Raw genomic sequence first — 15,528 nt, forward strand, 5'->3', positions numbered from 1 at the left:
GCCAGATTTTTTTTTTGTGTTGATCAAGTGTGCTTCGACTGAGAAATCAACCCCTGTCAGGTTAAGAGAGTGGAGTATTGGCAAATGGAACCTGTATCCAAGACAACATCGGAAGAATGACAGACAGACGCTGCCTCATAGCAGCTGGTTGATTAAGTTTAATTACTTTCCTAGTTTTCTTACAACTTCATGGTTGACTTAAATTATTGCTGCTCTTTTAATTTGCCCTTTTGACTACTCAAAAGAACAAAGTACCTCTTGATAAGAAATCTCTTCAGGCAGTATGGGTTGGTGTTTTATAGTGTGGGGGAAGAATATATATAAAGGCATTTGTTTGTGGCAAAAGCATTTTTCCTAAATTTTTCAAATTGCTGAGAAAAGATTATTCGTAAATGTGCCAGAAAATTTTTTAAATAGACCAATAAAAATGTTCCTGTGATTCTTGATATAGAAACCAGGAATGGAGAAGCTATTTGTCTGGTGACAGAAGGGTTGACCAGATAATCTGAAGTCCTTGCCTATTTGTTGTACGATTTGGTTGCTATCACCTCAAATCTAAAGGCTCAGGCTAACAAATGAAAATGCAGTAGAGAGCACTCTCATTGTAGTCTTAAGATGAGTTTCTGGGACCTGAGCTACTGTGACACAATTATGGGTGAATTTGCAGTGGTTAGTAGACACTTTGGGGTCTAAACAGAAACATATGACCCCAGGTAATGAGGTTGGTGTCACCTCTTTGAATAGGTATTTTGTGTTTGGTTGAGTTTTTTGAAATCATATGTTTATACTGTAAGATTAAATTTTAAAATGCTTCCTGTTATATAGAAATTATATCTCCTGGAACTATTAGTTTGTTACTGGTTTGATATTTTTACTAGTTGTTTATTATAGGGTAATTGACAAACAGCATTTAAGTGATAACATCTTTTTTTTTTTTTTGTCATTTCAGAAAATTCCTTGACATACTCCAAGAATAAGGTAGGATAACATAAAGGTGGTAACTCTAGAAAACTTAACGTGGACATATTTTTTCTTAAAAAAAAAAAAGTGCCCTGCTAGAAGAGTGTTTTCTATAGTGAGCATTGAGTGAAATTTTCCCCGTTTAGAGGTAATATTCTGTTTTCAAACATTTCTCTATATATGTGTTTTTCGTGTGTATTTCAAAGAAAATACTTGAATAATTTGTCCTGTCCTGAGGTTTTATTTGTTTATTTTGCTTTAAGAGTTGATAGCTTTTAGGAAAGCAGGGCCTTAGGAGGAAAGTCGTCTTTTAGACTGTGTCCTCAGGATAGATTATATGAGAGAAAAGCAACTTAGGATAGAGAAAACCCTGGGTTGTGTACCTTTTGAGCTAAAATAAGTCATAATTCATGCTATGTATTAGTCAGCTTTTGCTGTGTAACAAACTATAATAAAATCTCAGGGGCATAAAACGATACGTTGTTTCTTGCTCATATGTCTATGGGTCAGCTGGAGAAGCCTTACTTCAAGCTGGGGCCAAGTTCCTGTCTATTCCATTTGTCTCATCTGGGACTCAGGTAGGGGGTTAACAGGTATCTGGTGAATGTTTTCACCATGGATAACTAAAGGCCCAACTACACAAATATATTTTAAGTCTCTTTGTGTCATGTCTGTTAGCAACCTGTTAGTTAAAACAAGTTACATGGCCAAGCCCAAGTCAAGGGGTGGAGAAATATGATATGCCCACCGTAAGGCTATGGTAGGGAGTAGGTTGTATAATTCAATTACAAGGTAATGAAGAATTGGGACCAATAATTCAGTCTACCACATGCTGTTACTTCCCTATTGTAGTTCACAATTTTGTCTACATGTAGATTATTTGGTGTGGCAAGGATAGAATACGGGTCATCTAGACCATTGTTTGAAATCCCATAATAGAACACAACCAGTATTAAACAATAATAGGAATAGAACAGAAAATATTTAGAAACCATTGGTCATAATATGGTTAAATATATTTTAGGAATTTTTTATACTATTATAATTATTTTAAATATTTCTGTGTACATCTGTGTGTATTTTGGACATCCACATGAATGTTTGTTATTGATCATGATGTAAAATGTGGCTCAAGGTCAAAAATGTTGATTTGCTACTGTCTAGTATTATGAATCGTGCCAGAAATAAAATAGACCTTCTTGAGAGTTGCAAGCATATCTGTTATGTTCTGAAGAGTAACCTTTAAAATAGGTACTTTAATGATTTAGTTGTACTCTTTAAGAATGGTCTATTTAAGAATAACTCATATATATAAGTGAATATTTGGGGGAAGAGTCCAGAGTTACACTCCTTTGTTCAGAATTGTTAGAGAGTGATTAATATATTTTTTAAAATGAGGATGTGGAGGTCCTGAAAGCTAACAGGTTGCTGGTTCTCAAAATTTATTTATACCTTATTTATTTGTATAGTTCCTTTATTTGAAACATAGGATGCAGTTTCCCAAAGTAACAATATTACAAATTTTAGCAGATGCACTTGGGGAGGTGTTATATTTCAGGTCCATTACAAGAGTAGTCCTTAAACTTAAGGAAGAATCAAAATCTTCTGGAGGCCTATTAAAACACAGATTATTGGGCCCCATCCCCGGAATTTCTGGTCTGGTTCTGATTGCATTTCTAACATGTTCCCAGGTGATACTGCTGCAGCCGTTCCTGCTGGTGAGGGCAGTGTCTTGAGGCACTAATAGCATATTAGTATGCTGTCTGGGGACTGTTGTGGATCATAACTGCTTTAACTTTGTTTCGATAGGAAACTGTGTATGTTTTTCAAACTGACCTTAAACAAGTTGGTTTGGAACTATTTGGGTGCTGAACCCTCTAGAATGAATTGTTCTGTGAAATCTGTTTTCTTTAAGCCTCGACATTGTAAAGAGAGTAAAACCATAGCTGAGCTCTTTATGTTATACCCACAATCCCAGCTTCCAACCAATTTTTTCAGTAGTGTGTTCCTCCAAATAACCTTGACATCTCTCAGCCTGGAAGTTGTCCAACACTGCCATTGCTGTCCACTAAAACTCTTATCTGGTCCCCTTCATTACTCTCTGACTTTATCTACTACTGTTCTTGCCTTGCTCACTGGTCATCACCACTATGCTGCCTGTTATTTTCCAAACACATCAGCATGCTTCTGGTTTATGACCTTTGCACCAGGTCTTCTGTTTAAGTAGAATTATCTTCTCCCGCTTAAAAGCTTAGCTCACTTCCTCATTTTCAGGTTTTTCCTCAGTTATGACATTCTCTATGAGATTTTCCATGACCATTCTCTACCTAAGGGTATACCTTTGTCTCTCTTTATGATCCCCTTTCCTTAATTGTTTCACCATAGCACAGACCATCACTAGCGTACTAAATATTTTACTTACTTATTTTTCCATTCCTGAAAAGAAAAAGGCATTGTTTATTTTTTGTTGTTGTTTTGTTCACTGATGTTTTTCTAGTACCTGAAACAGTGCCTGGAATGTGATAAGGCTCTGAATATTTATTGAGTGAATGAATGAATAAGTGAGAAAAATAAGAGGATAAAGAATAATAAGTAAATGAAAATTAACTTTTTTCAGAATAGAGTGTAGTGTTTCTTTTATTTACTAATTTACTGTAGAGGTTCTGGAACTGGGGACTCAGTATCACATCTATCAGTGTAATTGTTATAACTGCATTTGTAACAACAGTTTTGGTCACAGAATTTATTAATGGGATTGTATGTGTGGTAAAATCATGCCAAGCTTAAGTGGAACAATACATAAGATGCTACATTTAAGAACTCCAGTGCCTTGGTCAAATCCGTCCAAGGATTTGAATGACTACCACATGTTCAGTATTCAACCAGGGTCTTTGGGATATTCAAAAGATATACAAAAGAAGACTGGAATTGAATGTAATTGTAAGTAGAAGTTTAGAGAAGGAAGAGGTAAATGTAGACTAGAGTGTTTGGGGATTTTAAAGTAGTGGTTACAAGTTAAAGAAAAATAAAATGTTCATCATTTTTTACCTCTGTTTCTTGCTATTAAAAAGTTCACTTGAAAAGTAAACATTAAAATTGTATTCTTATGAACTTCATTATTCAAAAATAGAAATTGCTATAGTACTTTGGAGGGCATCCTGCAAAGAGAGTGGTCAACAAATGGGTAAATACTGAAATTAAATCACTTAACGATTTATTCTTTTAAGGTTTTAAATCTAAGACAAACTTTCCAATAAACAGAGGTAGCCTTATCAATTTAAAAATATAATTTATGTGTGTATTGCACCTAATTTGTATATTCCATTTACTTTGTAGGGTAAATCTATTTCTCATTTTGTGATATTTTGGTTTACCTAATTACATTTTTATTCGATAAAAAAGTCTGGGTTCAAATCCTGATATTATCAATTACCAGTTGTTTGACTGTGTACAAGTTACTTATTTTCTCATTCTAAAAGCTATTCATACCCACATAGTTGTTTTGAAATTAGAGATATTACTATGAAAACAGTCTAAGAGAATGCCCAATACTTAGTAAGTATTCAACAAATAGTGGTTACTAATAATATTAATGATAATATAATTAAGCCAATATATACCATAATCATTTTAGAAATTTGATATTCATGAAAACCTCTTTGGTACTTGAGAGTACTTAGCATTACCAATGATTGCTGTGAATAAAAGTGATTTTAATCTATTCAGAGTGATTCCCTAAAGCAGTGATCTTGAAGTATGATCATGTTGGACTGTGCACTGTTCCACAGTGTGCATTCTTTCTTTGTTAAAAATTGAATCTTATTTGCTTATATTTTAGATTAAGGACTATTTATCAATTAGATATTAAGGGTTAACAAACTGGGATTTATAAATAAAAATTAATGACTTATTCGAATTTGAGGAGTCTAATTCAATATTCTGCTAAGAAGTCTGGCTTCCATGCAATATATGACAATGGAGCAAAGCTCCACTGTACTTACGCATATACAGGCATTTGAATTTCTGAAAGTTAGGGAGGAATACTTTGGCAATCTATTGGTGTTTTTGGTGGCTGTCTTTTTATTGCAGCTGCCGTCTTAGGGTTTAAATAATAATGTAGCTGTTAAATAGTTGAATAATAAATACATTTTACGGCATTAGTTTAGTTTTCTTTTAATGCTATAGTGATGCACATTTGCATTTTTGGGCCTCTACTTTTCCACTACAGCCTATAGTCATTCAAAGTATAATAAGGGGATTCTATGAACAACTTTATGCCAGTAAATTGTTTGATTTTACACAAAATGGACGAAGTCCTTGAAAAACAACTTACCAAACTAACACAAAAAGAGATTAAAAATCTAAATAGTAGTATACTTACAAAAGAAATAGAAACTGTAATTTAAAATTTTTTCACAAATCTCTAATCTTGGCTTCACTAGTGAAGTGTTAAACATTTAAGGGAGAAGAAATAATACCACTATTACATTAACTCCTAGGAAATAGAATAGAAAGAAACACACTTTATGGGGCCAGTATCATCTTGATACTAAAGCCAGATATAGACAATATAATATATGAAAATTACAGTTCAATGTCCTTCATGAATATAGGTGCAAAAGTCCTTAACAGAATGCTAGCAAATTGATCCTAGTAATACATAAAAAGGATAATATGTCATGTTGAGTTGTTTTTTTTTTTTTTTTGATACAGAGCCTTGCTCTGTTGACCAGGCTGGTGTGCAGTGGCGTGATCTCGGCTCACTGCACCCTCCACCTCCCGGGTTCAAGCAGTTCTCTCACCTCAGTCTTTCTCGAGTAGCTGGGGTTGCAGGTGCACACCACCATGCCTGGCTAATTTTTGTATTTTTAATAGAGACAGGGTTTTACCATGTTTCCCAGGCTGGTCTCAAACTCCTGACATCAGGTGATCCACCCATCTCTGCCTCTTGAAGTGCTGGGATTACAGGCATGAGCCATTGCACCTGGCCTGTCATGTTGAGTTTTCAGAATCAATGTATGTAATTTACCACATTAACAGAGTAAATCAGAAAAATATGGACATTTCAGCAGATACTGAAAAACTGTTTTGACAGAATTCAGTACCAATTCATGATTAAAAAATCTCAACTAGGCATAGAAGGAACTTTCTCAACCTATGAAAGGCTGTGAAAAACCTGCAGCTAACATGATACATAACACTGAATTATTGAATGCTCACCACATTTAACTGGGAACAAGACAAATATATGTACTTTCTCTGCTTTTATTCAGCATCATACTAGAGATCCTAAGTAGTGCAATAAGGCAAGAAGAAGCAATATAAGACATAATGATTGGAAAGAAATAAATTATATTAACAGATGACGTACTTTGTGAATGTAGAAAATCCTAAGAAATCTACAAAAACTACTGGCATTATTAGTAAATGAATTTAATAGTGTTACAGGACATGGTATACTACTGTATGTTAGCAACAAACTTTTGGAAAATAAAGAACAATACCACTTACAAAAGCATCCAGAAAACATAAAATATTCAGGGCTAAATTTAATGAAAGATGCATAAGACTTCTGCACTAAAACTCCCAGAGAAAATTGCTGAGAAAGATGAAAATGGAACCATACACTGTATTCATCCATTGGAGGACTCAGTATTAAGATGTTATTTCCCAAATCGATCTATGGATTCAATGCAGTTCCAGTGAAAACCCCTGCAGACTACTTTTGAAGATTCTGACAAGCTCATTCTAAAGTTTGTAAAGAAATGGAAGGAACCTAGAATAGCCCACGTAACCTTCTAAAAGGACCCCTACTACCTGACTTTAAGACTTTATAGTCAAAAGATGAATATAACAGATGAGAGACCAGAAATTGACCACACCTAATATGTCACAATTTTTAACAAGAGTATCAGAGCAATTCAATGAGGAGAAGAAAGTCTTTTCAATAAATAGTGCTGGAACAACTGGGTATGTATGGGGGAAAAAAGAAACCTCAACTTCAATCTCTTACCATACATGAAAACTAATTTAATACGGATGTTAGACCTATGTTTAAGCTAAAACTTTAAAGTTTCTGAAAGCAAGCATAGGAGAATATCTTCCACCTTGAGTTATGCTGCCACTTAAAAAAATTGAAAAGTTAAACTTCATCAAAATAAAACTGCTTATCAATGATACCTTTAAGGAAAGGAATAGGCAGGCCACAGACTGAGAATGTATTTGCAGCATATGTATCTGATAAGGGACTTGTATCTAGTAAATAACTTTTATAACTCAGTAATAAAAAGGCAACAGAATTTTTAATGGGCAAGAGCTTTGAACAGTCACATGACAAAAGTGTATATATACGTGTGTGTGTGTGTGTATGTATACACACTTGGAAAAGTGCTCAGCATTATTAGTCATCAGGGAAATGCAAATTAAAATCACAGTGAGAAGACACTACATACCTAAAAGTTACCTAAATGAAATAGACGAACAACACTAATGTTGGAAACACCAGTTGGAGCAGAAGATGATATTATCACTTTGGAAGTGGTTTTGGCAATTTCATTCAAAGTTAAACACATACTGCCCTAGTAATTTCACTCTTAGGTGTCTAAGAAATGAAAATATATATTTACCAAAAGTATAATAAAGTATGGTCCCAAACTGGGAACAATGCAAATTTCCAGTACCAGGAGAATGAATAAGCAAATTGAGGTATATTCATGCAATACAACTCAACAATTAAAAGGGACAAATTACAGATATGAGAAAGAATGTGGATATGAGTAAGAATGTGGATGAATCCTAGAAACGTTATGTTGAACAAAAGAAGCCAGACACAAAATAGTACGTACTTTGATTCCATTTATGGGCATACAGCTAAGCTATGGTGGTAGAAATCAGAACAGTGGTTGCTTCTTGAAGGAAGAATTGATTGAAAAGGGGCATAAACGAACTTTCTGGGATGATAGAAATGTTCTGTATCATAGTAGGGATGTGGATTATCTGGATGTATGTATTTGTCAAAACAGATCAGACAACATCTGTGCCTTTCACTGTATTTAAATTATAAATCAATTTTTAAAAAAGTAATGGAATAGTATATACAGGAAAGAGTATTTGCTTAGAAACTAGATGTGGTTTCTCGTCTTGACTCTGCCCTAAATTTATATATGCCTTGGGCAAGTTCATTCAATCAGTCATTTGTTCATAATGTATTTAACAAAGTTTTGAGCATGTAATCAGTAATGTGCTATCCTAGACGCTCAAGATATAAGAGTAAATAAGAGAGACAAATGCTGGTGGAGAACATAGAGAAAATATGGTGTGGTCAGTGCTCTCTAACTGAAGTATGACTGTGAAAGGAAGTAGGTAACTCTAGGGCTGGGGAAGACTTCACAGAGGAAGTGACATTGAACTGGATTTTTAATGTTTTAGGAGTTTGTAATACATGCAAAAGGTATGGCTTTTGCCATGACTACCCATGGCGAAGGTAGTCCTTTTACCAGTGCTGGTATTTAAGCTTCAACACTCTTCCTGTACTCATATTATCTCAGGATTGGACAAGCTAGACTTTGTTGACCATATCTGTATCTTTACTGATTGTTATTAATAGATCTTTGACCATTTTCTTCTCACCTTTTACTTTTCTCTGGGGAAATCTGTTTCTTTCTCTCTCTCTCTCTCTCTCTCTCTCTCTCTCTCTCTCTCGCCTTGGGGTATATCTAAACTAAGGACTCTATTTTTATTTTTCTTACCATTTTTGATTTGAAGTCTTAGTTTGTGAACTGTTCTTCAGTATGCACAGTAAATTCCTACAGTTTTCAAATTTGATCTGATTTTGTTTTTGTCAATGCCAGTTTGTTACCAGTGGTGATCTCTGGAGACAAGATTTTGAGATTCAACTCTTTTCTGCATTTAATTTTTTAAACTTATGCATTCAAGATTTTTATTATGTAATTAAAATATCTACTTCGTAAACACTATGGTGGCAGCTCATTTGCTGAGAACTCATCAGCTGAGAACCTGTTGACTCAGTTGAGGAAGCCTTCCTCTGGTACATCATGTTGCTGTTCTTTTATTATAAAACTATATATATATATGTGAATTTAGCCCTAGAGAAAATGTGAAATAAACTGGTTGAAACAAACTGGGTTTATTTTGCATTTTTAATATCTACTTTGTAAGGTTGATTAAATGTCTCACAACTATGTCTTTTTCAGCTACAAAGAATTTTTCTCATTTGGCTTTCTTTTACATAAATAGGTTTTACAGAAGGCGACACATGTTGTTCAGAGTGAAGTGGACAAATATGTAGATGATATTATGAAGGAAAAGAATATTAACCCTGAGAAGGATGCCAGGTGTGCGTTTTTTACATTATTCTTTTTTATTATGCATTTATAGCCTGTGAGGTATCAATATCACACACTGTTGTAACACTTTAGAGCTGAAGGGTTTGTGGAGATCATCTGATTCAGCGCTCTCACTTCACAAGAGGAGCAGTTGAGATCCAGAGAGGGCAGTGATAGAATCGGGACTAGAACCTGTATCTCTTGGTTTCCAGTCCAGTACTAATGCCAGTATATCATCTGCCTTCTTCAAGATGTCTTACCATGACTTTCCCAAGGTTAATAACTTTGGCTACTATGTCTTTTGAAATACAGTTCCTGTGTCCTCCTCTAGTAAGGTCCTACCAGGCTCCTCCATTCTGAGTTAGGTGCATTGCTGTGGCATCTCATAGTGCTATCATACCATTTAACCCATTGTACTATAGTCATTGATTAACTCTTGTCCTTCCCTCTGTAAATTCTAAGTTCCATAAGAAGAGGACTTATCCCATTTCTGTGTTCCCAGCGCTGGTATGTTGACATAGTATTTCACACTTTTTCCTTCATTCAGCATTTTCTATGTGAATATAGAGGAAGGAACAATTTATTTCAGCTGAGATGAGGAACGGTCTAGGAGGGAACTGAGGATAGTTCCACCCAAGAGGTGGTATTTACACTGGACCTTGATGAATGGGTAGGGGAACAGTGCCAACAAGGCACAGAGACATAGAAATATTAATACTTTTGTATCTGGAATGATAGGGAATTATTTGTAGCTGGATCATTGAATATGAGCAGAGTAGTGGCTGGAGAAATGAGTGAAATGCTAGATTGATACATTGCAGAGTCTTGTATGCCATACTGAAGGATGTAGATGTTGTCCTCTGGTTTTTAAGCAAACAAGCTACATTTTTAGATATGTATTTTAGGAAGATGGAGAGTAGATTTGATAATGTGGGAGGCTGGCAGAAGGAATAAAGAATAGGAAATTTGAGTTATTCAGGTAAGAAATGACAAAGGCATAAATACAGTAGGAGAAAGAGTGCTATGAGGATTGCTTTGAAGGACATTTCAGAGATAGAAAGGTTTAGCGTATGGGGATCTTTTGATACATTGTGATGGAGAGAGGCAGGTCAGAACTTGGAGTGTTGTAGCTTGGGGAACTAATGGGTAGCGATGTCATTAATAGATCTAGACACTAAAGAAAGAGCATGTTTCTTTAGGGAAGAGAAGCAGTTTTATTTAGAGCTGAGATAACCTGTTGTGGAGCTATTTGTTTTATATATACTCGGAAAATTAAGTCTACTGGTGATATCTGGCAATAAAGATTTAGGAATGTATAGGATTGCCCAGAGAAAACATGAAGAGAAAATCCTTCACAAATCCTTACAGTTGTGAAGTTTGCCATTCCTACCATGTCTTGCCCTCTTTCTAGGCCTTGTATCCTATATAGTACTTTACATAATGTTTTGTATTTAAGGTGGCCTTTGGTGGGTCTTATATTAAACTGAAAGCCAGGAAATGCTTTCTAAATAGACATATGAACCACAAGCTATGAAAGACTTTATTGTGATAAGAGGGTATGCTTTTTAAAAATAATTTTATCATTTTTAGTTTTAAAATATGCATGAAGATGTGCTTACTGCAGATAACTGGTTATAAACAGCTGTATTTGGATGTAGAAAGTGTGAGGAAAAGGCCATATGATTCTGATAACCTACAGCATGAAGAGCTACTCATGAAGGTAAATTTCTGTTTTCTTTATGTGGAGTTGTTGAACGCTAGAAAAATAAATCAGGCTTCAGCTAAGTAAAGTCTGCAAATTCTAGAGGCTTATATGGCTAGGCTTATATGGTTTCTTTGCCCTTAGAGAATTTTATTATGCTGGATTTCACTGATATGGAAAGATTTTTAGTTAGGTATTTTTATCATTTTCTGATAAGCATTATTATAAATATATAATGAATATATATTTATATGAATAAATATATTCAAATAAATTTTATTTTAATGTTTTTATTTCTGAAATAAAAACCTATAGAGATCTTTTCAACCAAAAAGTATATGTCTACAAGTTTCAGATTTTTCTCCTACTTTTTATACAAATTGCTCATATAAGTTAAGCATTTTTTCAGCTACTTACAAGTTGAAAACATGTGTGTCCCTTTTCAGATTATTTTGTCCAATCTTTTGGGACTTATGGAATGTTAATTGCCAAGCAATGCCACAAAAGATTTAAACTTTAAGAAAGTAAAAATTATTTACTTAGAATTTTCCTTTTTCTTATTTCTAAAGTATAAATGCATAAAGCCAATGAGGTGCCAAAATTAAAGAGTAATAGACCTAGAGTAAGCTTTACAGATCATCTAGACTAGTCCCTTTGTTTGAGGGATGAAGACTCTAAGGACTAGGGAGATGAAGCAATTTGCTTTAGTACTAGAATGGTAGGGCCTGGAACAGAGCTGAATCTCCTGCCCATCCTCTACACCTATTCCAATTTTATTTTAAAATCGTTAAAGAAAATAGCGCATTGCAGTTGGAATTAGGAGTTCTTTATAACAAAAAGTACTGTGGAAACAACATTGATACTATCTAAATAACACTAAGCGATACAAGTTTAAAAACAATAAAGGCTTTTTTTTCATTAAAAGTGTATTTTGTTAAATGAGGATGATACAAATATGTATCTCAAAGGGTTATTGTATGGAGGAGTTTTTATATTTAAAGTGTTTAAAATAGTACCTGGCACTTACTGAGGATTAACTGCTATTTCTGTCCCCATTGTCATCATTTTTCCCTTCATGTTAGGCCCTTGCTACACGATACCTTTCCTTTTGAGGGAAAAAAGTACAAGTCCTAGCCCTCTAGTCCAGGGAATTTTACCTTGGTGCTTCATGGTGAAATTCAGTTCTACACTACACATACTCAGCAGTCTTACTGGGTGAAGAGCTATGTAATCTGTCTTGCTTTAAGTGTAGTCCAAGGACCACCTTTACTAGCGTTAAATAGCATTTACTATGTACACTCCAAAGTTCCACCTTAGACTTAGAAAATTAGAATTTCCAGGAATGGAACCCAGAAATTCAATATTCATGCATATTAAATTTTTAATACTAGTGGTTCTACACTGTGGCTCTCACCACATCACTGAGGCCTTATCATTGGCATAATCAAACTCCTTGCAGAATTCATGGAGAGAGGCTAATGTAAGCAAGTCACAGGTGTTGATAATAAAAGTAGTGACCAGGTAAACCTAATGTAATGATTGGATTTAGCTTCAGAGCCAGTCTTGACCCTGTTTTAAAGCAAGGTCACTTCACATTTTATTTTAGGTAACAGAATACTCCTTTCATTAGGGGTCCTTATTCAACAGTGCTTTAAATGGTAATGAAATGGGAAAAAAATGAAAGTATTTCTGTTTTGCAAATTTTCGCAAACCTTCTTTAGTCAACTTCCGTAAGTTTCTTTCATTTGATGGCTTGTGGTATTGAATTTAAACAATAAATTTTCTTTATTTTGCATTGAGTAGTTTATTGGTATGTAATATTTGATAGTTGGTTTGTTTTTTTTTTTTTCCTTTTTGAGATGGAGTCTTGCTCTGTCGCCCAGGCTGGAGTGCAGTGGCGCCATCTCAGCTCACTGCAAGCTCCGCCTCCCGGGTTCACGCCATTCTCCTGTCTCAGCCTCCTGAGTAGCCTGCCACCACGCCTGGCTAATTTTTTGTATTTTTAGTGGAGATGGGGTTTCACCGTGTTAGCCAGGATGGTCTTGATCTCCTGACCTGGTGATCCACCTGCCTCGGCCTCCCAAAGGGCTGGGATTACAGGCATGAGCCACCATGCCCAGCTTGATAGTTTTTCTTAAATCCTCATCATTAAAGATATTTATTTAAAACCAAATCATATTTTTTTAAACTGAAAATTTGTAAAACAAGTTGGAATGCTATCAGTATCATTTCTTCATGCTCTTCTGTCTTATACCTATTTTCATTCTGATTAGGGACTATTAACCCACCATTATAATAGAGCCTATTTAACTATACAGTATCTGAAGCAAGGGCTAAGTTCCTAAAATACTGTGTTTTTCTCAAGCAGTTTACCAGTTCTGGGCATATCTGTATTAATTAGTAAATAAAGACATCTCATTGTTTAATATTTTTCTGTATTATTTGTTATCTTTTCAAAATCTGTTCTTTATACCAGTCTTTTTAATGGGAATAAATGTGCTGCGTGTTTTAGGATAATTGAAAAATGTTCTAAAGTCTTTGCTTAACCTATGGTTTTTCTACAAAAGTTATTTGATAGCATTAAATTACTAGTTACAAGCTATGAGAAAGAAAATGTCTTAATAATGGAAATATATTTGTACAGCTTTGGAATCTTCTAATGCCCACGAAGAAGTTAAACGCTAGAATCTCCAAGCAGTGGGCTGAAATTGGTTTTCAGGGTGATGATCCCAAGACAGACTTCAGAGGCATGGGCATACTTGGGTTAATCAATCTTGTGTAAGTGAAAGTAAACTTTCTTTTCTTCCCTAAATGAAATTACATTTAATCTCTGATCTAGTTACTTCTAATAAGAAGTGATCTAGTTGATTCATACTATCTCTGAATTTTAATAACTGCAGTGCTGGAAGTATTTGCTAATGTGTTGGCAACAATATGAAGATATTGGAGGCCAGGCACAGTGGCTCACGCCTGTAATCCCAGCACTTTGGGAGGCTGAGGCCAGAGGATCACTTGAAGCCAGAAGTTTGAGACCAATCTGAGCAATATAGTGAGACCCTGTCTCTACAAAAATAATTAGCCAGGCATGGTGGCATTTGCCTGTAGTCCAGCCACTTGGGAGGCTGAGGCAGAAGGATTGCCTGAGCCCAGGAATTCAAGTTTACAGTGAGTCATGATTGTGCCACCTCCAGCCTGGGTGACAGAGCAAGACCCTGTCTTTAAAAAAAAAAAAAAAAAGACATTGGTGGAAATATAATTGTGTATGTGATTTCTTTACTTACCAATGCTTTCCTCTCCTTTTTCTTTCTGATTTCCATTCTGATACCTCTTAAAGAATTATGTATGCTCCTACTGCCTTTATTCACTTGCTTTTTCTCTCTCGGCTCTCTGATTCTATTTTGGCAAATATAACCAGATAAGGTGATAATAAAGTCTCTTTATATATGTTCTTCACCACCTGTGACAACTTACCTACCTGCATTCCTGACTTGGTATAGACTACCGTATGAACTTTCTCTCCTTTATCTTCTTTAATACTTACGATTAGCTACATGTATCGAAATCCCCAAATATGTAAGTGAAGTCACAATTGATAGACAAAACTATTCTAGAAGATAGCCTGGAAGATTAATTTCCTCCTATAAGGATATGCAAATGTACAAATTGTAGTGTTTGGGTCTGTCCATGAAATTGTGATTTATAGACTATAAAATGTCTAGAATGGGAAGGCTAGACTATTAAAGTTTGGATAATTCTTACTGTGAAAAAATCCTGATATTGGCTAAATTAGGTTAATATTGATGGTTTTTTTAATTGTTTACAGATGTTTATTTTTCACCATTTGATACTGTTAAGATTGAGGTTAACTAAATTCAGGAAGGAAATTAAAAGTTGTTCTATATTACAGATTGAATATTTTAAGAGTAGTTTGACTATTAAAATGCAATGCTGAATTATTACAAAAATGAAATATAAATAGTCAACTGAGGGCATTTTAGAGTCAATCTAGGGATAAAGTAGAAAAATTAGAGACTTAGGAAAGCATTGCATTAAGCAAGACTTTTAAAACTATTTTGGTGTTTACAGATCCCTTAGGGAATCTGATGAAAGCTTTGTATACTCTCTCCCCGGGAAATATATATATAGAAAAAGTCCATAATGTAAGATGGTTCCTGGATTCCCCTTCATTCATAAATTATCATTAATTCATGGACTTCTAAGTTAACAGCCCCTGGTGTAATGGGTTGAAAATTAGAGCCAGTGAAGAAATAAGGAAGTGTATATTAATACTCTCTAGAAGAATAAAGAGGGAAGAGTTAATTAGAAATTTCTATGCTTTATGAAAATGTCAATGATTTTGTCCTCTAAAATGTAAATAAACCATGGACATTTATTTTTTATTTTTATCCTCACGTGAGCATCTAGTTGTGTGTGTGTCTATCATTTTGAGGTGATCCTAAGGTTAAATAGATTTGGTGTAGGCCAAAAGGATGTATGTGCCTACAAATAGATAGTTTCATA

The 15,528-nt window shown here is 34.7% G+C and overlaps 1 protein-coding gene across 7 annotated transcripts in view; it reads left to right on the forward strand.

The window, feature by feature from the left end:
• Nucleotides 1–15,528, forward strand: part of ELMOD2 (ELMO domain containing 2) — a 29,603-nt gene that overhangs the window by 2,349 nt on the left and 11,726 nt on the right. For all 7 annotated transcript variants that reach the window (XR_001741193.2, XM_005262885.4, NM_153702.4 and 4 more), the window contains exons 3-6: nt 950–978; nt 9,217–9,314; nt 10,896–11,025; nt 13,652–13,785. Coding sequence is in view for 6 of the 7 variants with exons in the window: in XM_005262885.4 (XP_005262942.1) it covers nt 950–978; nt 9,217–9,314; nt 10,896–11,025; nt 13,652–13,785 (391 nt within the window). In the remaining variant the exon portion in view is untranslated. The remainder of the gene's footprint in view (nt 1–949; nt 979–9,216; nt 9,315–10,895; nt 11,026–13,651; nt 13,786–15,528) is intronic.

Source organism: Homo sapiens, chromosome 4 (genome assembly GCF_000001405.40).
Source record: "Homo sapiens chromosome 4, GRCh38.p14 Primary Assembly".
NCBI lineage: Eukaryota > Metazoa > Chordata > Mammalia > Primates > Hominidae > Homo > Homo sapiens.